The following is a 26901-nucleotide window of genomic DNA, read 5'->3' on the forward strand; positions in this document are numbered from 1 at the left end:
TACCAGCCTAGCCAACTATAGTGAAACACTATTGTGACTAAAAATACAGAAAATTAGCCAGGCGTGGTGGTGCATGCCTGTAATCCCAGCTGCTAGGGAGGCTTAGACAGGAACTCTGGGGGTGGAGGTTGCAGTGAGCCGAGATCATGCCACTGCACTCCAGCCTGGGTGACAGAGCAAGACTGTCTCAAAAAAATTTAAAAATAAAGTTTAAGGTTAGAAGCTTTTTGGTGAAATATTAAATGGCACATGTAATGGCACGATTCTGTTGTCTTTGGAAACAGTCTCAATAATCGTGTATGTAGAATAACCCAAAGACAAGAACACTGAATAGACTAGGAAGTATTTTTTAAACTGCCAGAGAGTAAACAGAAACTATTGCAGAACTGTAAGTTTTCTTGCCCTGAAACTTTCAAATTAGGTACTTTTAAAAAGAAATCTTCCCAAATAACTAATAAAGTGTATTCATTTTATTGCTTTGTCTGCATGGAAAAAGTTAATAATGCTCCCAGATGTGAATATTAGACTTACAAACTATGCAGGAGTATTCCAATGAAAGAAGATTGATCAAGTATGCTTAGTTTCATCTCATTCCCAACTCTCACTAACAGTAAAGAGACTTTTTAAAAAGATATTAATATATACGGACAAAAAGAAGGGAAGTAGTGAAAATGGCAACCAAATTTTGGAAGCTGAATATTTGATCAGTGTTGAATTACTTAACAGACCTGAGAAAGCTGAATCTTAAACTACCAGTGGGGAAAGCTGAAAAGCAGCCTAATTTACATTGCAGATGCAAAGCCTCAGAAATTGGTGGAAATTGAAAATAAGGATGAACGTGGGATGAAAAGAGAAGATATGATTATACATCTTCCCTTTAAGAGAAAATTGAAGGTTTATTCTCTGCAGAGTCAAAGACAGTGTCTCTGGACTAGAAAACCCTAGGTGCACAACTGTCTGGTGGTGCTGAATTGAAAAATGAGGAAAAAAAGTTTTCATGCTGAATATTATAACTCTCTTCTACTGCTCCTATTTCTCCCAGAAAACAATGACAGTAGGCAGGATATAGGAAGAGTCATCTTTGGGGAATCAGACCAGCCTAAGAGCAAATATCTAAAGGTATTAATATTGGAGATCCCAAGGAAATGGCTTAGCCAGACGTACTAAAAGGAAGACCATATTTGACAAGCTTCACACACGTTTGCAAATTCCAATCAATTTTTTAGTGTTCACTTATACATATGAACAGATGGCAAAGGATGACCAGGCATTTGAGGATGAAAACATTATGAAATATGGGAATGTGCACAAACAAGAAAAGTGGGTTCGAGTAAGTAGAATTTATATAGAGAGAACATTTCAAAAAACTGTTAAAGAGTATCCTCAAAGAGATAAGAGAAGGTGTTACTTTCATGAATAAAGGCAGTAAACTACTTGAAAAGAAAGAACGAAAAAAAATGAGTTCTTGGAAAATAAGAATATAGTAGTTGAAATGAAAAATTTAGTTTTAAAAAGATGATAAAATAGAGGCAAACTCCCAGAAAGTAGAGCAGAAAGACAAAGAATAGAAAATTTGAAAGAAAAGAAAGGGGTCATGTTCAGGAGGCCCAATATCCAAATAATAGGAAATTCAGAAAGAGAGAACAGAAAAAAGTAGAGGATAGCAAATCCTCGAACAGTATTTTCTAGAACTAAATTGATGAGTTTTCAGTTGACAGGCCTCTCAAGAGCTCAATACAGTGGATAAAAATATTCCCATACCAGCAGGTATCATTACTAAAATGCAGTGCTGCAAACAGTGGAAGATTCTGCAAGCTTCCTGAGAAAAAAAATTAAAGCTTCCTGAGGAAAAAAAGAATAAGAAAACAGAATAACATCAGATTTATCAACAGCAACAACTTGGAAGCTGTAAGATAATTGGGAAATGCCTGGAAGAGTCCAAGGAGGGAATAATAGAATTATATACTCAGGCAGTATCAGTGCATTTTGACAGTAGAATAAAGACATCTTCAGCTATATGGTATCTCAAGAATTTACTTTCTGTCCTTTTTACTAAGGTAGCCACTGAGAAGAATATTTTTCAAAAACAGGAAAATCTTGGTACCAGCATTATCAAAAAAATAAAAGGAAATAAACCAAGAAGAGAAAATTGAGGGATCATGAGACAGGAAAACCAGCACAGAGAGTAGGGGAAGGAATCCCCAGGATATTAATGGAGACCCTAGAATGATAAGGAAGATATTGTAACAAAATGACTGTGGCAGGCATAGAGAAAATGAGTATAGATTCTAGAGTTTTTTATAAGACTCTGTGGAAGAGTTCTTCAAGAAGGCAAAGTAGATGGACTGTGTAATGTACTTCATAGTAATAAAGGTTTAAACTCTGGGAGTGGTGCAATTGAATTAGTGTTAAGTACATACAATTAAATAGATGAGTTGGATGGGAGTGGGAAAGACAATTATTAACTCTAGGAGGGATAAAATATAGAAGAGGAAAGAAAAAGTATACCACCTGTCTTAGCTGTGAATAGCATTTACAGAGTCATCATATTGACAATGACTATATTAGTGTGTTAGGAGAATGGGGGTATTAGAAGTATTATGAGGGTTGCCTAGGAGCAGCATGGGAGTGTGAGAGAGCTGATGTCTCATATTACATTGAAGGAAATGATATTTGAAGAAGTAACAATAAAAGTATATTATTTAGAGGTATTATAAGTATTCATCTAAAAGGGAGTTATAAGTAGTTGCCCCTGAAAGGGAGGAATGGAGAAGAAGCAAAGTACTGCTGTTTTGCCTAGAAATCTCATAGAACTAGTTGACTCTATGCAAATGTACAACTTTGATAAAAATAATAACTATAGATGAATTGTGCTTTTAAAAAAGCAGGTGTAGCTGGACCTGGTGCACACTTGTAGTCTCAACTACTAGAGAGGTTCAGGTGGGAGGACCACTTGCACCCAGAAGTTCCAGTACAGCCTGGGCCACATAGCAAGATCCTATCTCTAAAAAATAATAATAACAAAAGCACATGTATACATAAGTTTCCAACATGTTGTATAGATTTGACTTAGATTACTTTAGAAAATAGATTTTGCCCTATAGAGATTGATAATTTTTGTTTGTTTTTTGTTATCAGATCAGATCCAGACTGTGAAGACATGAAAAGATAATAGTTGGAAACCTCAGCAATTTTCAATTCAAGGAATCTATCTAAGACAAATAGAATACATTTTGTAAAAGATGTTTATGCATCAAAAAATATAATTTTCTGCTTGCATTTATGGACTCTGACCTTTTTAAGAACATAGGACTTCAGGTATGCTAATTTGGCCATTAATTATTTAAAAACTAAATATTCCCTCAAAAGGGCTCCCTAGAATTATCAAGTTCTTAGTGAAGGTCTACATTTGATTGTACGTAGAATGTTTAAAAGTCAGTTATAAGCCATCTCATCCCATCATAATTTATGATATGTTTAATATATTTTATTTTTTAATTGTCTTTTTAAAAAATTTAGTTTATGACTTTGCAGTATGAATTGTGCTTGTGAAAAAGAACTTTAAATATTTATAAGGGACCATGGGTAATTAATATATATTCAATTTTTACTATGTGTCACTGTCAATAAAATGTAAAATATAATGTGCCAACTAGTGCGCTTTGTTTATGCTGAAAAGAATAATGCTCTGTTAGTATGGTATTTCGTGTCATACTGTCAAGCATTTGTAAACCATCTGAGACTAAGTTAAGCTGAATTTATTTATTCAGTGTATGTTGAACATCTCTACACCAACTAGTCAGACATAGTCCTAGGCAATGATGTTACGAGGTAAATAAGACATATCCTTATCTTCAGAGAACTTAAAATTTAATGAGGGATAATTTGAGAACCTTTCCATGGATAGTATCTAATTTTATTTCATTGGCTGAATGAAAATATTGCATCTTCAGATTAAGAGGTATAAAGTAAATTAATATTTGACTGTTCAGTAATCATTACTGACATCTTGTTTTTCACTTTTAAATGCCTCCAATTTACCATAGCACTTTGTTAAAATAAATTGTGACTTTTAACTTTTTCATGAACATAACTGCTACATAAATGTTCTTTAGAATTTTAGACATATCTCAGGCACACAAATTATTAGTTCTCACAAATTAGAGAACACTTATAATTGTGAACTCTAAATAGAAACCTTCATTTTAATCACTGAGCAACAGTATATAGAGCAATATTGTTGATCCTGATAAACACTGCATATAAAGAAAAACTGTAATATACAATATATACCATCTCAAGTATGCTTAGCTTTGAAAATGATGAAAATAGAAGGCAAAAGTAAGTGAGTAATAAAGATGTTATAGTAACTGCAGTAGTGGTACATGTTTCACAAAGATTTTAATAAAAGCACATAAAGCTACAATAAAAGTTCTATATTCCAGTTTCTTATAGTCCAGAAATAGCAGTGATTTGGCATTTGGCAAATTGAAAGTTACCCAGAAAATTCCAATGGCTCAGCATCTTAGCTAGTTTACCATCTCTCTTGTAAATTGTTTTAGAGGATACAAAATGAAAATCTCATTAATCTAAAGTTGCTGCAGATATAGGAAGGACATAAGGATGGAAACAATGAATGTAATTTTTTAAAAAACTGATATGCTACAACTATTTTAGGATGGAGAAAGAATTGATTGAGAATTCAAATCCTCACTCACTTACCATAAGGTAGTAATAAAATTAATAATAGTTACTACTATATGATCATTATATTATAAGCAGGTATTACACATACAGAATTTTCAACATTTAATCCTCCCAATAAGCCTATGTGGCAGGTTTTATTATTTCCATTTTATAGATCAGTAAACTGAGGCGTTAAAATGTTATGTAATTTGCCAAAGTTCAAAAAGCTGGTAAGTCTGGTACTAGGATTCAGTACCAAGCAGTCTGTTTTAAGACAGATGATTCAAGAGTATGATAGATATTAGAAATACAGATATATCTGCCAGAATAACAATTAAAATGATAGAAAAGGCTCTTACTTGGGACAGCAACCAGGACAGGGATGGTAGAGGGAAGGTCAGAGACTAGAGACTACTCTTTGCTTTTTTTGTTTTCTTTTTTTTTCTTTTAAAGCTATTAACACTACTCAAATTTTAAACTCTGGATACAAATGACTTTGATAAAAGTCCTTAAAACTATTTTGACATTAAATTATTTGGTATTCCACAAACTACAGTAGCTCATACCTATGCAAATATTTAGAAGAAGGAGAAGTACCCTTTTTCTTTGTTTTCATGATCTCCAAAATCTAGTTTTTAGTCTATAAACATCCATCCCTACTCCACATTTTCATGTAAAGATTATGTAGAAGTTGGGCAACAGTGTAGTCACAGGATGTCATATAAGTGTGAATAAGCTGAGATTATTGCATTTGTATTTAGCATATTATACAATTAAAATGTATTTTATTAAACCTGAAGCAAGTTTTCTTTCATGTCTAGACATCAGTGTGTTACAGAGTTTAATTCATTAAGCTCTGTATTTGAATATAACACCTTGTAAAAATGTTTGAAACTTATCCTCTTGTATGTTAAATATTTAAATATTTGTATATGGCCCTATTCAGCCTGTGCTTTATAAATCACAAAAGAGCTGGGTTTTATATGTTTGTTTTTTATTTCTAAGCTCTCTGCGAAAAAGTTACAAATTGTCTCCTTAAGATATTTTTTCTTTGTAATTTTTTTATATCATGTTGTGATTTCCATAAATATGTGCAGTTACTCTTGATAATACTTGTCTTATTCATTTCAGGTTGCTATAACAAAGTACCATAGACTGGGTGGCTTATAAACGACAGAAATTTATTTCTTACAGCTCTGGAGCTGGAAGTCTGAGATCAGATTACCAGCATGGTTGGGTTCTGGTGAGAGCCGTCTTGGTTGCAGACTGCCATCTTCTTGTATCCTCACATGGCCAAAAGAGGACAAGAGAACTCTCTGGAGTCTGTTTGATAAGAGCATGAATCCCATTACATCTTCACATGGCTCCTCCCAAAGACCCCACCTCCTAATATCATCACATGTCATCACATAGGGGGTTAGAATTTCAACATAGAAATTTTGGGAGAACACAAACATTCAGTCAGTTGCAATACTTAAGGCAAATTCATCTTGCTTATAACTCTGGTGCATGTGCATTAAAATACTATTGCATTGTAACTGAGTTTGTACCTATTTTCTGCTTTCTGATTATTTCCTTTGTTCATGAAAATAAATGACTGGTATTACAAGGTCACCTAAATAAATAGGTTTGTGTACGTCTGCGACTAGAGAGAAATACTACAGTGATTAAGAAATGGTTATTGTGTTTAATTGAATGTTTCAGGTTACTTAGTTATTACATTTTCATCTTTCTCCGTATGGATGCTCCTGCTCAGCTTCGCCTGCCTCAGAACCTTTATGGCTCTTTCTTCCAATCACTTGATTTCAATGCCAGATTTAGAAGCTTCATCGGCATACCATGTTAAACTGCTTTTCTGGCAATTTAGAATAAACCAAGAAAGATAAAATCTGTCTCCAAATTTCAAATCACCAAGTAATGCTAAAAGTCACCCAGGAATACTAGATATTTTGAAAATAAAATTTGATTAGAAATATAGTAGTAATGATAAACATAGCTTTTACAATGTGCCCATACTTTGTAAGCACTTTACATATATTCATTTAATTGTCATAAGAACCCTGTGAGGTATTATCTCTATTATATAGATCAAGTGTCAGTAAACTGCTAACTCATTTTTGTACTGCCTTTAATGTTTATTTTACTTTTTTTAAATTATTATACTTTTAAGTTCTAGGGTACATGTGCACAACGTGCAGGTTTGTTACATATGTATACATGCGCCACGTTGGTGTGCTGCACCCATTAACTCATCATTTACATTACGTATATCTCCTAAAGCTATCCCTCCACCCTCCCCCCACCCCACGACAGGCCCCGGTGTGTGATGTTCCCCTTCCTGTGTCCAAGTGTTCTCATTGTTCAATTCCCACCTATGAGTGAGAACATGTGGTGTTTGGTTTTTTGTCCATGCGATAGTTTGCTGAGAATGATGGTTTCCAGTTTCATCCATGTCCCTACAAAGGACATGAACTCATCCTTTTTTATGGCTGCATAGTATTCCATGGTGTATATGTGCCACATTTTCTTAATCCAGTCTATCATTGATGGACATTTGGGTTGGTTCCAGGTCTTTGCTATTGTGAATAGTGCCACAATAAACATACGTGTGCGTCTTTATAGCAGCATGATTTATAATCCTTTGGGTATATACCCAGTAATGGGATTGCTGGGTCAAATGGTATTTCTAGTTCTAGATCCTTGAGGAATCGCCACACTGACTTCCACAATGGTTGAACTAGTTTACAGTCCCACCAACAGTGTAAAAGTGTTCCTATTTCTCCACATCCTCTCCAGCACCTGTTGTTTCCTGACTTTTTAATGATCACCATTCTAACTGATGTGAGATGGTTATCTCATTGTAGTTTTGATTTGCATTTCTCTGATGACCAGTGATGATGACCATTTTTTCATGTGTCTGTTGGCTGCATAAATATCTTCTTTTGAGAAGTGTCTGTTAATGTCCTTCGCCCACTTTGTGATGGGGTTGTTTGTTTTTTTCTTGTAAATTTGTTTGAGTTCTTTGTAGATTCTGGCTATTAGCCCTTTGTCAGATGAGTAGATTGCAAAAATTTTCTCCCATTCTGTAGGTTGCTTGTTCACTCTGATGGTAGTTTCTTTTGCTGTGCAGAAGCCCTTTAGATTAATTAGATCCCATTTGTCAATTTTGGCTTTTGTTGCCATTACTTTTGGGGTTTTAGACATGAAGTCCTTGCCCATGCCTATGTCCTGAATGGTATTGCCTAGGTTTTCTTGTAGGGTTTTTATGGTTTTAGGTCTAACATTTAAGTCTTTAATCCATCTTGAATTAATTTTTGTATAAGGTGTAAGGAAGGGATCCAGTTTCAGCTTTCTACATATGGCTAGCCAGTTTTCCTAGCACCATTTATTAAATAGGGAATCCTTTCCCTATTTCTTGTTTTTGTCAGGTTTGTCAAAGATCAGATGGTTGTAGATGTGTGGTATTATTTCTGAGGGCTCTGTTCTGTTCCATTGGTCTATATCTCTGTTTTGGTGCCAGTACCATGCTGTTTTGGCTACTATAGCCTTGTAGTATAGTTTGAAGTATTTTACATTTTTAAAGAGTTGTTAGGCCAGGCATGGTGGCTCATCCCTGTAATCCCAGCAGGTAATCGGCCGTTGGGAGGCCAAAGCAGGTGGATTACTTGAGGACAGGTGTTCGCGACCAGCCTGGCCAATGTGGGGAAACCTCGTCTCTACTAAAAATACAAAAATTAGCCAGGTGTGGTGGCATGTGCCTGTGGTCCCAGCTACTCAGGAGGCTGAGGCATGAGAATCACTTGAACCCAAGAGGTGGAGGTTGCAGTGAGCCAAGATTGCACTACTGCACTCCAGCCTGGGCAACAGAGTGACACTCTGTCTCAAAAAAAAAAAAAAAAAAAAAAAGCAACAGAGACTATATGTGGCCTGTAAAGCCTAAAATGTATACTGTCTGATGCCTTCTACATAAAAAGTTTGTTGACCCGTGTAACAGATGATAAAGTGAGGCAAGAGATAGCATATTGCAAATACATGGAAGAAACCAGATTTTGAGTCTACAAGATCTGGCTCTGGAATCTGTGTTCTTACCTTTTACATAGCTTCGCAGCAAAGCTAAACATTCTAAATTGCAATAGAACAATTTGAAATTACTTCCTTCTTAAATAATTGTATTAAAAATGAAAAATTAGGTGCAAATGGCTGAAAAGCAATGCTCTTTGAAATTCCTTTAATTTCCCATTAAGAATGAAAAGTATGAAGTCTTGGCCTTCTGGTTTTTATTCTTCCTTTTCTTTAAATGGGTGGCAAGAGATAAGGCAGATTATGAAGCATCAAATATGTTAACTTTTAAAAGTATAATCACACATACAAATTGTCCCCAAGCATCTGGTTTGGACTTTCAGATTCCCTGATGATTTTTACCAATATTTTGAGGTAAATGATAGCTACTGTTGATAGTCTTGAAATGTATATGTTAGAATATAGTGATGGAAACAAAAATATTTCACGCCAAAATATACTTATTTGGTGTATTTTGAGAAAGCTATGCAGAGGGCCTGCAAACACAAGTAGCCCTACAAAGCTGTCTTTTGTGGGAACGATTTTCTACTGTAGAGAAAATCTGCACTGATGCAGCCAGGCTTTCTCTGAGGCCCTCCCATGTCTGGATCAAGGAAAGATTAACTGAGAGTCTGACACCTTTAACTGAGATTCTGCTGTCTGTGAGGTTTCATCTATATAACCAGATGACCTTTGCTAGCCAAGCCTCCTCTTCCCCGCTCCCATAACCTGTCTTGCCACCATAAACTCTTCTGGGTGAAGCTTCTAGCTATTCTTTCTGTAGCGTCAGGATAGTATAAAAACTCCATATGGCCATTTCTTTGAGTTTTTATATTTTGTGTGACTCCTGTGAACATGACTGCACAAAATAAATTTGTATGCCTTTTTTCCTGTTAATCTGTGAACAGATCGGGAAAAATTTAAACTTCCCTGCAGTAGAAACATTTTTATAATTCAATTTGTAGATATTTGTATTTTTGAGTTATGTAACAAGTACAGCTAAGAATGTTTACTTCATTACAAACATTTCATGATCATGCGTCAGTGTTCTAAACCTTTGCCATTTAGCTAAACGAATAACATGTCCACAAAGGACTAGGCTCAGAATTTGGTCTGTCTCTTATAATCTCTTTGAAAAGTTTATAAATTCTTCCAAATGATTTATGAAGTATCAATGTTACATTACTAAAATTGATTTATGTGTCCTCCAATTAAATGTAATCATTACTATTGGAGTTAAAGCCAGTTTCACATTCACACTCTTCTTAGGCTCTGTGGGTGTGTGTGTGTGTGTGTGTGTATGTGTATCAGGATGCATGCACCTTCCTAAAGTCATAGCAAGCTCACACTTTGGTGATCACTAACTCTTCCCTGGGACTTTCTTAGGCAGATTTATAGTTATGTCTTGCAAGTATACTATTCTTACCAAGTTTTAGGGGTTTTAAAAAAATATGTTGTTTTTTGTAATTCTTAAATATGATACATCAGCTCTTACCTCTTGCCATTTCTGGGAACTTTATTATACATTTGATAGTGTTTTTAGTGCATTTTTAGATGCTGGGTTATTATTATCTTAAATACTCTCTCTAATCAGTGAGTTTATAGTTTCATAAAATATCACTTATTGCTTTTCACATTGTAAAACCCCCATACTGTGAATAATTTCATTTTATTTATGCATAGCAGCACAAGATTTTTTAAGAATAAATGAAAAGATTTTTAAGACCCTATATTTACATGGTATCTTGTTAATGTTAAAAGTTTGTCTTTTCTAATACGGAATATATCTAACATAGGACTTCAGAAAAAATATTACTGATATGTTTACTGATTAAAATGAAGTGTGAATCTATATAAAGACAAGAGGCAGTATTTTTCTTTTAATAAGAACTTTAGATATAACAGAGATACTCAATTGTCTATGAGAGGAATGGGTATAAATAGACTATGACTCTTTCTTGAAAGAGATCAGGAAAATCCTGAGGTGGAAGCCTCCATTGATATCAGTACCAACCAAATCATACTAAGTGAGCAGGTTCTTAGTCTTTATATGAATAAGGCTTTCCCTAAAGTAGAAGGAGTATGCAAGCAGCAACTATATTTATTGAGCCTACAATGATATTTCCTTTTGATATAACATTCAAATTACTGTCACCTCAAAGAAGACCTAAATTTGTCTTAAAGATTATACAGTACTCTTTATCTAACTTAATCACATCAGTTTTATATTTATTTAAATTTCTGTCTTCACTCTTAATATATTCTACCTCCCAGAAACAAACTGAGAAAAATGCCTGCATGAGATTATTTCATGACAGAATGAAAAGTTATCATGCTAAGAGTGTCTTACTCTAAGGAAATTTTTATATTCAGTTAACTCATGATTTTGTTTTTTCTTTAGCCCTACTTTAAATTGTTTTTCAAAGGGGCTAAATTTATATTAATGTATAGTCATATATTAAGCTAGTATACTAATGAACTGCAATCAGAAAAAATAATAGTGCATACCTCATTTAATTGAGCATCACTTGATTGTGCTTCACAGATAAACCTGTTTTTTACACATTCAAGGTTTTTGACAACCCTGTGTTGAGCAAGTCTATCAACACCATTTTTCCAACACCTTTTGCTCATATTGTATCTCTGTATCGCATTTTGCTAATTCCCACAATATTTAAAACTTCATGATTATTATTATTATATTTGTTATGATGATCTGTGATCAGTGGTCTTTACTATTGTAATTATTTTGGGGTGCCATGAAACTCACCCATATAAAACTGCAAACTTAATTGATAAATGTGCATGTTCTGACTGCTCTACAAACTAGCCATTCCCTAAGGGTCCTGTGGGATAATAGAAAAAGATTTTTTAATTATGCAATTGGAGGCTCACAGAGATAGGAAAGAAAGAATGGAGCAGAGTAAATTTATGAAGAAATAATAATAGCTGAAAACATTCTAGATTAAATGACAGGCATAATTTATAGATTTTAAAAGCTCAGAAACCCCCAAATAGAGTAAATACAAAACAAATAAACTTACATATGGCAAAGCTAATAGCTGAAAACCAAAGAAAATATCAAAAACATCCAGAGGGAAGAAAACCTTATTTATAGAGTAAAAGTGATACAAATAAGTTTCTATACAAACTGATATAAAAAAGTTGATTTTTATTAGAAACCCTGCCAAATTCAGTAGTACAGTATTTTTTAAAGTGTTGAAAGAAAAATAAGAAAGTTAATCCAGAATTCTAAGATATGAAACCAAGAAAAAATTCTGCAGGGTGGAGGGAAATTACACCAAAGGAAAAGTCTAATTTTCAAGAAGTAATGAAATGATAAATATATGAGTAAATGTAGAAGGCTTTTTAAAAAGTACCCATAAAATACATGTGAATGTTTAAGTAAAAGAATAACATATTTGTGTGGGGCTAATAATGTATGTAGATATACAAATAACATATGATGACTGTAATAAAAAAGGATGGTGAGGGTGATAAAGGACCCAAACAGTTGTAAAACTTCTACATTTTACAAGAATTGATACAATATTAACTCTAATAGACAGTATAAATTAAAGATGCATATTGTAATCCCTAGAGCAACTATTTAAAAACATGGAAAAGAAATATTAAAAAGCCAATACATTAAAATAGAATTTAAGAAATATTCAATTAATCCACGTAATAAGGAAAGGGGGGACAAAGGAACAAAACACAGAAGGAAGAAACAGTCCTTAATACCATTATATCAATACTTGGAATACATTTAATTGGATTAAATTCTCCAATTAAAGTTAGAAATAAGCAGAATGAATTTTTGAAAAGCATAACTATCTGCTCTCTGCAAGAAATGCATTTAACATATAAAGATGCAGGCATGTTGTAAGTAAATGTATTAAAAAAGATTACGGAAGCATTAAGTATAAGAAGGTTTGAGTGCATATATTAATATAAGATAAAATAGACTTCAAAACAAAAAGAATTAACTGCGATAAAGACATTTTATTATCATTCATCACAGATGTGTGTGCATCCAGTAACAAAGTTTCAGAATACATAAAGCAGAAATTGACAGATAAAGGGAGAAATAAACAATTTCACCATTACAGTAGGAGATCTAAATACCTCTTACTGAGCAATTGGTAAAATAACTAGACAAAAAAAAAAACAAAACAAAAAAAACAGTAGACATAGATGATCTGAATCAGTCAGCCAAATAGACCCAACTCATATGTGTAGAACACTACACCCAACAACTACAACTTCTTTTGAAGTGTAAGACAAACAGTACAATTTTTAAAAATGGAAAACAAACTACATAACAGGAAAAAAATCCACAATATATATATCTGACAAAGAACTTGCATAATATATAAAGACCTATTATATATCAATAGAAAGAAGCCAACAACAACAAAATATGAGCAAACCACTTGAGTAGATACCTCACAAAAGAATATGGTCAATCAATACAGGAAAAGATGCTTAACATCATTAATCATGAGGGAGATGCTAATAAAAACTATGATTTATTACCATTATACACCTACTAAAATAGCTTCAGTTTTTAAAACTGGTAATACCTTGTGTTGGCAAGAACATGAAATCATTGGAATTCTCACACAATGCTGGTGGAGAATGCAAAATGGTATGTGGCGCCAACCAAGTTACGCATCTTTGTAGGGAGGTGATGATAGAGCAGCAGGAGCAGCCTAGCACCAGTTGTTGGAACACCTGTAGGATGATGAAGGCATGTACATTGCCTGGCATGGGATGTTGGAGCTTGAGAAGGGTAAAGAGGGCTTCTACACCCGACGTCCAGGGAGGTGGTGGTGGTAACAGATGATTAGTAACATTTATCAAGGAAAGAATCTAATAATATATTGACAATAATGGGAGTCATCCTCCAGAGTGTAGGAGAAGAGAGTTACAGGTGTGGAAAGAAAACTAGAAGGATTGTTGTATTACAGTTGGAGGTATCGGTATGAGCACATGAATTTCAATGGGTAGAAAGAGAGAGATATAGATACAGAGATAAAGATGCTGTTTGTGTGTATATACCTGTGTATGTGCCTAAGAGCAGTGACTCCAACAGCAATGAGAACACCTGGCACCCACATGTAGGTATCTTGGTTATATTCTCCACTAAAAAGAAGTAGGGCTCTTTGGGAAAATGGCTACTTCCATAATGGAGCAGAAAAAATACAGAATGAGCCTGGAACATTTTGTTTTTCCAGAAAGTTAAAAAATGCTCAAATAATTATGTGGACATAGCAAAAGGACACAAAGACAGTTTGAAGGGGCATTAACTGGCTACACCTGCGACATTTTGAACATCAAAATGAATAAAGATAGTAATGGACTATATAACTCATTGAATGAAATATGAATTTATATATCTATATGATACAAATAAGTGAATAAATGACTAATGGGGAGATAACATTAGAACACCTACAAATAAATGTAGAATGTTGGAATGAGAAAATCGCCATTTGACAATAATTGTAATAATTTATTCAGTCTAGAAACATCAATGGATGCTAAAAATAATAATGAAATGTTGTCAAGGAATGGGATATTTATATAGCTTCAAATTATTTCTCCACAAAATACTAATTACAGAGAGGAAAAAAAATAGCTAGCATACAATTAAGGGAGCTTGCAGACATCACCTTAATCAAGTGATCCAAGTTATTATCTGTGATGGGACAAATTGAAATCGTGTACCTTAGCTTGGTGTGGTGGCAGACGCCCGTAATCCCAACACTTTGGGAGGTTGAAGCAGGAGGATCACTTGAGCCTAGGAGTTTGAGGCCAGCCTGGGAAACATAGTGAGACCCCATCTCTACAAAGATTCCAAAAATTAGTGAGCTGGGTGGTGCATGCCTATAGTCCCAGCTACTCAGGAGGCTGAGGTGAGAGGATCGCTTGAGCCTGGGAGGTCTAAGGTACAGTGAGCAGAGATCACACCACTGCACTTCAGCCTGTGCAATAGAGTGAGACGCTGTCAGAAAGAAAGAAAAGAAAGAAGGGGAAGGAAGGAAGGAAGGAAGGAAGGGAGTGAGGGAGGGAGGGAGGGAGGGAGGGAAGAGAGGGAGGGAGGGAGGGAAGAAGGAAGATCATGTACCACCTGACACAATGAGAACAGAGCATTATAGAAGGAAAAGGAAGAAGGATGGAAGGAAGGAAGGAGGAAGGAAGGAAAGAAGGAAGGTGGGTGGAAGAAAGAGAGAGAGAAAGAAAAAGAAAAAAAGAAAGGAAAGAAACAGAGAAAGAAAAGAAAGAAAGAGAAAGAAAAGAAAGAAAAAGAAAGAAAAAAGAATTAGGTACCACCTGACACAATGATAACATAGCATTACTTTTGGGATATTGCCAAAAATATACAGCCTGAATCCAACCATAAGAAAACACCAGGCATTTCCAAATAAAAAGATCCTGCTTCCACCAAAATGTGGCCTGTAAGAGTAAAAAAATGTCCCAGTCATGAAAGTCCCAGTCATGAAAGACTGAGGAATTTTTACCGAGTAAAGGAGACGAAAGTGACATAACAACTAAATGCGGTATGTGATTCTGGACTGGATCACTTTGCTAAAAAGAACATTAATGAGATAATTGTCAAAACTTAAATGGAGTCTGCAGATAAGGTGGTAGACTATGTCAACATTAGTTTCTTGATTTTGAGAGTGGAATTGCAGTTAGGATTTTAGGAGAATAGTCATGTTTGTAAGAGTTACACATCAAAGTATTCAGGACTTCATTTTGACAACATAATTTCAAATGATTCAGGAAATAAAAAGAAGTTCTTAATACTATTGTGATTTTTCAATAAGTTTGAAATATTTTCAAAATTAAAATATTTAGAAAAAAATTTATATGAAATAACAATGTAGAGAAAATTGAATTTTACATATTGAAGAATTAGAATAAAAGGTAGATGAGTATGTTCAAAAAAGAATGCCTGAAATGGTATCACTCATAAAAATAAACTGCCTGAATAGATTGATAATTGCAACCAATATGGGAAATGTATGTATACTTATTATATAAATTAAGTAATTATTGAAAGTTGTAGCTATATTAGAAAATACAGTACTGCTACCAATTAAAATAAACACTTTAACTCTTAATAATAAAGATGGACCAAGTGCCTTTTGGGATTTCATAATAGTAATGCTTTCAACCTGCCAACTTTTGAGTGAATTCCAGGTAATAGCTATGAGAAAAGCAGTTCATGTAAGAATGCCACACAGCTGTCAGATTGTTTTGATTCTTGTATACACTTGATTTTAGTCCTAAATTAGATACATGGTTATTAGTAAGACTTCTCCAGCTTGATTCACTCGTCTAACCTGTCTCAAGCAATAATTGGCAGCTATAAATTAAATTATGTAGGTCACATTAGGATCAGTGCAGCAGTTTCTCCATCTGCCTATTTCTCATACCTTGTCATTGTCATTTACTTTTTAATTATACAATTATTTTAAAGAAGGTCAAGATAATGCAGCAAAGAGTTCACTTAAAGGTAGTTTCATATTAACATTCCAAAGCCCTTGTATGTTCTTGTATTACACATAGTATTTGATGATTCACAATGTAGTAGCACTCACTCACTGCCATATTTCCTCACCAAATCAGAAGGCAAGCAAAAATTATCTCTTTTTTTGGCCTACTATTGCACTCCTGATCTTTTATACTGCTTTTTGACTAGTGTAATATTCCTAATATAAACGTTTCAATAGATTCAAAATCTGTTAAATAGTGTTTCAACTGGGTTCTGGTTGCAAGTTTTCCATCCATGCTTCTAGAGCTGTGATTTGTGAAATCCACCCAGGACCCCAGGCACAGCCTGCCCAAATCATATGATTCGGCATTTCTTCCTCCCTTTTCCCAGTATAGGAATAACTTCAGAGATATTACGGGTTCAGTTCCTGACCAGCACAATAAAATGAATATAGCAGTAAAGCAAGTCAGATAAACTTTTTGGCTTCCTAGTGCATTCAAAAATTATGTTCATACTATAGTATATTAAGTATGCAATAGCATTATGTCTAAAACCATGATGTACATGTCTTAATTTTAAAAGACTTTATTGCTTAAAAATGTTAATTATTATCTGAGACAGCAGCTAACTCTAATCTTTTTGCTATAATAGTAGAAGGTCTTGCCTTCATGTTGATGGCTGATGACTGGTCAGGGTGGTGGTTGCAAAAGGGTGAGGTGGCTGTGGCAATTTCTTAAAAGAAGACAACGACAAAGTTTGCCACATTGACTGACTCTTCCTTTCACAAAATATTTCCCTGTAGTATGTGATGCTGTTTAACAGCATTTTACCCACAGTAGAACTTCTTTCAAAACTGGCATCAATCCTCTCAAACTGTGCCCCTATTTTAACAACTAAGTTTATGCAATATTTGAAATCCTTTGTTGTCATTTCAACAACGTTCACAGCATCTTCACCAAGAGTGAAGTTGTAGATATATTAGAAAATACAGTACTGCTACCAATTAAAATAAACACTTTAACTCTTAATAATAAAGATGGACCAAGTTCCTTTTAGGATTTCATGATAGTAATACTTTCAACCTAACAACTTTTAGCTATGAGAAAAGCAATTCATATCAGAATGCCACACAGCTGTCAGATTGTTTTGATTCTTGCATACACCTGATTTTAGTCCTAAATTAGATATACGGTTATTAGTAAGTACCTACTTTCTTTGCTCATCAGGAGCAACTCTTCATCCATTCAAGTTTTCTGGTGAGACTGTAACCACTTAGTCACGTCTTCAAGGTCTATGTCTAATTCTAGTTCTCTTACTATTTCCAGCACATCTGCAGCTACATCCTCCACTGAAGTCTTGAACCCGTCAATGTCATCCATGAGGATTGGAATCAATCTCTTCCAAACTCCTGTTAATGTTGATATTTTGGCCTTCTCACAGGAATCATGAATTTTTTTTTTGTTTGTTTGTTTGTTTGTTTGTTTTTTGTTTTTTCGAGACGGAGTCTCGCTCTGTTGCCAGGCTGGAGTGCAGTGGCATGATCTCAGCTCACTGCAACCTCCACCTCCTGGGTTCAAGTGATTCTCCTGCCTCAGTCTCCTGAGTAGCTGGGACTACAGGCGTGTGCCACCATGCCCAGCTAATATTTGTATTTTTTTTTTTTTTTTTAGTAGAGATCGGGTTTCACCATGTTGGCCAGGATGGTCTCGATCTCCTGACCTCGTGATCCGCCTGCCTCGGCCTCCCAAAGTGATGGTATTACAGGCGTGAGCCACTGTGCCCGGCCTCATGAATGTTCTTAATGGCATCTGGAATCCTTTCCAGAAGATTTTCAATGGACATTGCCCGGATCCCTCAGAAGAATCACTATCTATGGCAGCTCTGGCCTTATACAATGTATTTCTTAAAAAATAAGACTAGAAAGTTGAAGTTACTACTTGATCCATGGGCTGCACAATAGGTGTTGTATTAGCAGGCATGTAAACAACATTCATCTTGTACATCTCCATCAGAGCTCATGAGTGACTAATTCTGAAAGGAATTTTTTTTTTTCCTGAGCAGTAAGTATCAACAATGGGCTTGAAATATTCGGTAAACCATGCTGTAAACAAATGTGTTGTTATCCAGGCTTTGTTGTTCCATTTCTATAGCATAAGCTGAGTAGATTTAACATAATTTTTAAAGGCCCTAATATTTTCGGAATGGTAAATGAGCATTGGCATCCACTTAAAGTCACCAGCTTGATTAGTCCCTGAGAATCAGCCCATCCTTTGAGACTTTGAAGCTGGACATTAACTTCTCCTCTCAGTAACAAAAGTCCTGCATGGCATCTTCTTCCAATATAGGGCTGTTTCATCTACATTAAGAATCTGTTGTTAGTGTAGCCACCTTCATGAATGATCTTTGCTAGATTTTCTGATAACTTGCTGCAGCTTCTACATCAACATTTGCTGCTTCACCTTCCACTATGATGTTACGGAGATGGCTTCTTTCCGTAAACCTCATGAACCAACCTCTACTAGCTTCCAACTTTTCTTTTCCAGCTTATCTCTCTCAGCCATCATAGAATTGAAGAGAGTTAGGGCTTTGCCGGGAATTAGGATTTGGCCTAAGGGGATGTTGTGGCTTCTATCAAGACTATTAAAACTTTTTCCGTATCAGCAATAAGGTTGGTTCACTTTCTTTTCATTTATGTAGTCACTGGAGTAACACTTTTAATTTCCCTCAAGTTTGTCCTTGCATTCACAACATGGCTAACACTGTCTGGCACAGAAGGCCTAGCATTTGCCCTGTTTTAGCTTTTGACGTGTTTTCCTCACTAAGCTTAATCATTTCTAGCTTTTGATTTAAAGTGAGAGATACACAAGTGTTTCTTTTACTTGAAACCTTAGAGGCCATTGCAGGGTTATTAATTGGCCTAATTTCAATATTGTTGTGTCTCAGGGAATAGGAAGGCCCAAGGTGAAAGACCAAGGAGAAGGAGAGAGACAGGGTAACGGTAGGTCCACGGAGTAGTCAGAACACATATATTTATCGATTAGGTCCACTACATTATATGGATGTGGTTTATGGCACCCCAAAACAATTACAACTGTAATATCAAAGACCTCTGTTCCAGATCACCATAACAGATATAATAATGATGAATTATTATAATTATTATAAGTTGAATTATTACTTATTCTCCAAAGAATCTCCAAAATGTGTCACAGAGACAGGAAATCAGCACATGCTGTTGGAAAAATGGGGCTGATAGACTTGCTCAACAAGAGGTTGCCTCAAACTTTCAATTTGTAAAAAGCACACTACCTGCAAAGCACAATAAAGTGCTATGAAAGGAGACATGCCTGTTCATATTTATCACACTGTTTTGTAATCTTATAACTGTTGCTGAGTTGTATGTTTCTTTCTTTGAAACATATAACTTGTTGTTGTTGTTTCTCAATATATATTCCTCCCACAAACTTCCCTAATCATGTTCAAAGCAGCTAACACAAAAGGAATAAATTCAGGGTCAATGATTTAGATTCTACCTGGATCTTTATTTCAGAAGTTTTCTTTTTCTTTTCTTTTTTTTCTTGAAATGTAGAATGACTTATAGACTTTTCTGAAATGTAGAGTGATTAGTAGACTTTTCAGAAAATATGTATGTATGTATTTGTTATTTCTCTGACTACCTTCCTGAGCCACTAGGCAAGTGACCTGCCTGTAGCTATTTGCTAAATTTTATTTAAAGGTACATCTTCAGCATCATGCAATATTGCCATGTAGCAAACCTGCACATGTACCCCCCTAAAATGAATTAATTTTTTAAAGATATATCCTATTCTAAATTAGACTGGGTTTTACTTCAATTACAGAAGTCAAATTTACCTATAGAATACACTTACATGGTGGGAAGTACTGGAATGAAAATGGCAGAACTCAGTAAGTTTATTTCCCTCAGACTGCATTGTGGCTGATACTTTTACAGAGACAGATTTTATATTGTAGTATGGTCAGCTCTTTCATTTCATGATGTATATAATTGATCATTTGAAGTGGAGTTTCTGTTGAGTCAGATGGAGGTAAAACACCATTCCAATTTTTGGCATTACTTAAAGTTAATACCAACTGCATGGTTCATAAAAACAATTTGTTCATTAATTGTCTTCTGTACTCAATAATAAAAGCAGTATGTCAATACATTTACCTGTATGAGAAGTAGACCAAATGACTTATATAGAAACTGACTACTTAGAAGAGCTTATTTGGGGAACTGAAAAGAATAAAAATGAAATAGAAGATAGGACATAGAAATGAATGAAAACTTAAGAATGGTTATTAATATGAAATCAATTGAGAATTCTTTTTACTTTGATATTTCAGTAAAAATTTCTATTGAATGCTTATAAAAATATCATTCCTTTTGCTTTTTGTTCTTTGCTAAACAGAGTGCTTCTGCAGTGACTAATCAAACCCCATCATAACAGGGGTTTGGATAGAAATTACTGTCCTTTTAAAGTCAAGTACTCAACATCCTTTCCAGTAACTTTTTGGTCTTTTTTTTTTTTTTTTTTTTGAGACAGGTTCTTGCTCTGTCACCCACTCTGGAGTGCAGCGGCATGATCATGACTCATTGCAACCTCAACATCCTGGGCTCAAGCAATCCTGCCATCTCAGCCTCCCAAAGAGCTGGGACTACAGGTGCTTGTTACCACACCTGGCTAATGTTTTTCTTTTTCTTTTTAGTAGAGATGAGGTCTTACTCTGTTGCTTAGGCTGGTCCCAAACTCCTGGGCTCAAGTGATCCTCCTGCCTCTGCCTTCCAAAGTACTGGGATTACAGGTGTGAGACACTATGCCTGGCCTCCAGTAATTTTCAAAGTGAGAAATAATCGTGGAAATGTGACTAAGTACATTAAATAATAGTTATTACATCTTTTTCATGTTGATATGTGTTTTTTTTTTTTAAAGACATATAGCTAGGCAAGGTGGCTTGTGCCAGTAATCTCAGCTTGCGAGGCTAAGGTGAGAGGATCACTTGATCCCAGGAATTCGAGGCTACAATGCAGTAGTGAGCTAAGATCACACTGCACTTTAGCCTGCGCAAAAGAGAGCCCATCCCTAAACCAAAAACAAAACAAAAACAAAAGGACAAATAAAACACATTTTAGTATCTGCAGTCTCATTCATAAAATTTCCAGAGGTCATGGTAAGGGGCAAAACAAAGAAGAAAACCTAACTTCTTGTCTTCTGTTTACCTCTTTTCATAGGTAACTGCTTTTTTCCTTTACCAGTGAAAAGCTGACTAGAAGAGGTGAGGAAGGAATTCAATTGGTAGGATAAACTAATTAAAATATTGCTGTCTGGTTCTTTTGTTCATTATTTGCAAATCCAGTTAAGTTATACTTTAAATAATTTTTTACAGGTCTTTCAAAATGAAAGTGGGGTCATTAAGAAATGTACTTGCCCCATTTTTAAGAAGTAAAAAATTATGTCATCTATAGTAACATTTGGTTTTATAAGCTCCATATGGATTTTTTTTTGCTACTACCTTTAGCAATATTTTTAAATAAATTTTTCTGGAAGTTTGTTAATGATACTTTCTTTCAGAATGGAGTAAGATTTCCATAGACATGTCAAGTTTATATTCAGCACTATGTTCATCATTTCATCACTCCAAATTGTAATCAAAGTGAATAGATTTCTATTTTATTCTATGCAAAGAAAATTCATGTACAGGAAATTACGTTAATCTCAATTTTAGATTAGGTAAAGTTCCCATGTGAAAACTGGTTCATTTTATATGACAGCATGTAGCATTTCCAGCTGCTTTCTCTCCCTAATCAAAACATTTGCTCACAAAAGCAGCTGCCACTATGCCTTGTTTTTAAACCATTTGCAAGAAATCAAACTGAGAACAAAGTACCCATAGTAAGAAAGCTCTAGCTTCTGGGACATGTATACTATAAAACGTCACAATAAGATAAAAAGGAAACCAGTTCACAGCCACTTTTTCTGTTTTGTTTGTTTTGCTCCAAAGCTTTGTTTCATAAAGCCCTAAGAAACAAAACTTACAACTAACAGTAATATAATGCAGTCTAGAAATTTATAAATAATCATTCTTTATGGAATACTTTTAAAATTGTATATCAGAAGTGCATATTACAGTGCAGAGTTTATGAAGTCAGATGAAATATTTTGGGAAAACAATATAGAGGATGAATTTCTCATCTAATAGTAAATTATTATTCTGAGCCATTATCTACGTCATGCTTATGAAGCTCCATTAATAAAACTTAATATCTTACATATGACCTTATATTTTAGATAGCATTTGACTTAGATAAAAGACACATCACACTGAATTGGTGTGAACAACTATTTTGGAACACATGTTATAATCAGTGTTTGTCAAAGACATGCTACCCCTATTTATACATTTTTAAAAGTACGTTTCAATATTAGCAAATTTTGTGCTGTTTGAAAGCTATATATTTAATTTTTAATGTTAATGTTATATTTTTGTAAAGGACTAATTTCTCTTTGAAGTATCATCATATCAAAGGGAGAAAAGTGTAAATGTAGTTTAGGTCAGACTAACACATTTTACTTAATTTAAGCATTAAAAGATGTGTGTTCGAAAGATCTCAATCTCCACATGTTCCGCAAACAAAAACCAGACAAACAATACAATAAAACATCATGCATCTCATAGAAGTTGGAATAACCAATTACTTAAAAATTTTACCATCTGTTCTCATTGAAGCAGCAAGACAGGCATTTCCCCATGTTACAAACCATGATAATTAGAAAGTAACAATGAGAAATGCTAACATCATTTTTCCCCTTTTTTATTTGCTGTGGGAGTTCTTAATGAAAATTTGAGCATATAAACAAAGGAAAAGAGAAGATATTCCCCCCACCCCACCTCCTAATTGAGTGCTTATATTCAGTAATAGCTTTTTGCTGCCCTGGGCCGCATGACACTGCCTCATTTGGCCACGCACAGCTATTATTCTAGGAGGCAGCTAGTGAAGTGCCCCAATCCATCTGCTTGCTTTTTCATGGGCTGGTGCTTTCCTTGATGTTGACAGCTGTCTTAATATTCCTGGGCCACCTGCCACACAGTAAATACTGTGCTCTAAGATATATACAGAAGCTTATTCCCTGGTGGACTTTTCAGAACAAAAACGCTTAGCATTACTAAACTACTCTTGCAGTTTAAATGCTTCAAGGATCAACACTTTCATTCTATTCTCATACCTTTGAGAATGGTACTTACGTTGTGGGAATGGCAATTCAGTTACAGTGTGATGAACTTCAGGATTTCTCATATATCACACAAGTTATTGAATTACAGTATTATAGGTGGAAATCAGGTGCTAAAAGGAGGCAGAGAAGAAGAGAGCATATTAACAGTTATCTCCTCTAGTGAGCCTTCCAGGAACCCTTCAGATTAAGTTGGGGATCCGTCCTATGTTTCCCATCTTACCCCATTTGCTCATCTTGCCCAATTAAACTTGCTCCTTGATGTTAAGCATTTGGTCTTATCTATCACCGTATCTCTATGTCTAAGAATGAGCATGTATCTGACACATAGTATGCACTAGAGGACATATCCAGGTTTTGTGGGATCTGAAGTTTTTACAATTTGGAGGGTCCTCTTTAAAGAAAAAGGATTTAAAAGAAAATTAGATATAAAAATGAATATATTGAATGAAAACATAAACCATGCAAATTACTAATTTTAAAAGGTTGACTAGAAAAACAATTTGTTTTCTTACTAAATGCCTTGCACAATCACTTTTTTTCCTATATTTTTGGCAGTGTACTCTTCAATAGCCTTTCATATGACAATAATTTAGTAATATTATTTTCCATAATAATGAAAAGATAATGCAATCTTTCCTCTAGTTCTGTTTTTCTTATTGATAGAAAGGCTGTGTAAACATGCAGTACTACACACACACACACAAAGCTTGTGGTACTGCTACAGGTTTGTACCCTACAAACAAGAATTCTGATAAATTCTATTTTACATGGTTTACATCAACAAGAAAAAATGTTTTGTGTTTACAGTTATAAAAATTATTTTGGGTGGCTGAGACGGGTGGATTACCTGAGGTCAGGAGTTCGAGACCAGCCTGACCAATATGGTCAAACCCCGTCTCTACTGAAAATACAAAAATTAGCTGGGCATGGTGGTGGGCGCCTGTAGTCCCAGCCACTCTGGAGGCTGAGACAGGAGAATTGCTTGAACCCAGGAGGCGGAGGTTTCAGTGAGTTGAAATTGCACCACTGCACCCCAGCCAAGGTGACAGCGCCAGACTCTGTCTCAAAAAAAAAATTAAATATACTGCATTATTGAATATATTATTGCTATGAGAGAAATTACATCAATCGGAGGCAATCCTTCCTGTTGAAACTTTGTCTTCTGATGCCTGGAATAATTTTCCACATGACACCTGATGCTGCTTTACCTTTCAAATCTTGTCTCACCTCTATTACCCACATATTTTCAGTGTCAGAGACCACAGAATATATCTCCTCTGGCTCTGCATCTTGGGTGTAATACTTGGTGAGCTGCGCTACAAACAAATTGGAATTTAAGAAATAACTATACTTTGGAGAGGCTGGAAACCACATAAATATATTCCACTAAGTCCAAACTAAATATATTCCCAACTGAAATTCCCTAGCAGATTCCCAAATGCTCTTGATAACTCTAAGTGGAAAAGAAAATCTAAGTGGACATCTAAGTGGAAAAAAAAAGAGATTGTGGTCTTAATCACATTAAAACATTTACTTTTGTAAATTTGATAAAACTGGCCATGGATCCCATTGCTGAGTTCACACTGGAAGAGACTGTGCCAGCAGGGAGCCAAGAAACTTGAGCCTCATCGGCTTCACTGTAGATGTGCTTCTACTGCAGGCACTCACTAAACGTCGGGGAATAACTGGATCAGTGAATTAATGACACTGTGCTAAATTAGTATCTCTAAGATCCTTACAGCTCTAAAATTTGACATTTTTACAGGCTTCCTAATGCAATCTTAGAATTTAGTATTTAGAAATTTGTTCATATGAGTTCAGGTTATAACAATGTAGGACATATAGAAAACTAATAAGTGCTCAGAAAGCAAATGAAGGAAAATTCAATGGTCATTGTTTTATGACTTTAAGCTATTTTGTCATAGACGCAATTTGTCTTAGTGTAAACATGGCATTATTTGTATTTACCATTCACTTAAGTGCTTTGCTGTGCTACCGAGTGGAGATCAGAGTATTGTTAGATATATTATTAGTTAAAACCATAATTCATTAATTAAATCCTATTGACTCCCCCCCATTTTTATTCCAAGAAAAACTTCCTGAACGAAGTACCCTCTGGGTAGGCACTGGGGCCTGGTTTGATCACAGAACAAGTCAGGGACAAATGTGATAGTCATTCAATAATACGTTGGGAAGACAAATTATCATTTGGGCCTTTTAGCTGGAAGAAACAGTTTGCTTTATTACTCTCTTTGGGCTTTTTGGTAAGTGGGTCTTCAGTGGAGATTCTCTTATAAAATAATAAAGCTAGAATTGGGAACTTGTCTTATTCTAGTCTATTATCTTAGTCTTTTTCTATTTTCTCAGACTAGGCTCACAGAGAAATAGGAAAAATTTACCAAAGAGTAAAAAAGGATTAATCTTGAGGGATAGACTGAGATGAACCCGATTGATGGAAATCGGGCTGACTGAACTTTAATGGGTTAAATCCTGCCAGAACAAATGAGAATGAGTGTCTTGGCTCTATTGCAGTTAGTAGGAGCTGGAGGGCTTCTGGGAGGCAGCGTGGGGAGGCAGGGAGGCTCAATAGCCTCCAGCAGGTGCTGAAAGGACTTGGGGCTTATAGGTATGCAATCTACTTATGAGCAACCTTCTCCTCCAGCACCCGAAAGCCAGAGGGGAGATTACTCCAAGGCTCCCCTCTGCTGTGGACATTTCATTTTTATCTCATTTACTTGTATACATTTTTTAATGAACAAAAGCCATATCACTTCCTTGACGTCTACTCCAGGGGCAGCTTGCCTTCAAACAAAAACAAAACACTTGGGGTGAATGGGCCTCTCAGTATCTCCTGTACTAGCTGCTATAGGGTATGAAAAACCAAGAAAAATCCATACCACTGTACTTAGACTTAAAACAAGTCTTAAGCACCCTTTGGTTCCCAGATTTCAGTGGCATCTGTGTAACGACTGCAAAATATGTTGCAGCATTGACAAGCTTGAAATCATACTTTTTGATCAGTGCCGTTTTTGAAAGAGTTCGCAGGGAAGTATGGCGTGTGAAAAGTCTGAAGCACAGCGCGGTTAGGAAAAGTCACACCACAGAAAGCCAGCAGAACGCGCCGGGAGGTGGTGACCGCCTGACAGGTACCCCCTTCTCCCTCCCGCCGCCCGGTTCTGTGCTAACGCGACTTTCGCCCTCAGGGTTGGAGCTGTATTTGCGGTAGCTGTTTCTTAGCTCCCAGCAAGTCCGGGGCGCCCCGGTACTGCAGTTTGCCAAGTGTTTTCACAAACCTTAGTTCATAAACCTCTTTCAAAAGCCCGAAGAAAACCGTTTCTGTGCTCTGACTGTAGAATAGAAAACACAACGGTCACAGAAAGTAATTGAAGGCAA

The 26901-nt window shown here is 35.3% G+C and overlaps 1 protein-coding gene and 1 long non-coding RNA gene across 24 annotated transcripts in view; one reads left to right on the plus strand and one right to left on the minus strand.

Annotated features, from left to right (window-relative positions):
* The window catches only part of ARL6 (ARF like GTPase 6), a 36722-nt gene extending 30365 nt beyond the window's left edge, over positions 1–6357 (plus strand). For 8 of the 23 annotated variants that reach the window (XR_924186.4, XR_924185.4, XR_924188.4 and 5 more), the window contains one exon: positions 3139–6357. Coding sequence is in view for 8 of the 23 variants with exons in the window: in XM_017007311.3 (XP_016862800.1) it covers positions 3139–3164 (26 nt within the window). In the remaining 15 variants the exon portion in view is untranslated. The remainder of the gene's footprint in view (positions 1–3138) is intronic. The other 15 variants (NR_136595.2, NR_136598.2, NR_136597.2 and 12 more) reach the window with 3 other exon arrangements.
* Positions 5847–26891, minus strand: LOC101929298 (uncharacterized). The gene is made up of 3 exons (XR_427389.3): positions 26802–26891; positions 23519–23618; positions 5847–6009 (listed from the first exon to the last, which is right to left on the minus strand). It is a non-coding gene; the product is annotated as an uncharacterized LOC101929298 (long non-coding RNA).

The sequence above is a fragment of the Homo sapiens genome, chromosome 3 (assembly GCF_000001405.40).
Source record: "Homo sapiens chromosome 3, GRCh38.p14 Primary Assembly".
NCBI classification, from domain to species: domain Eukaryota; kingdom Metazoa; phylum Chordata; class Mammalia; order Primates; family Hominidae; genus Homo; species Homo sapiens.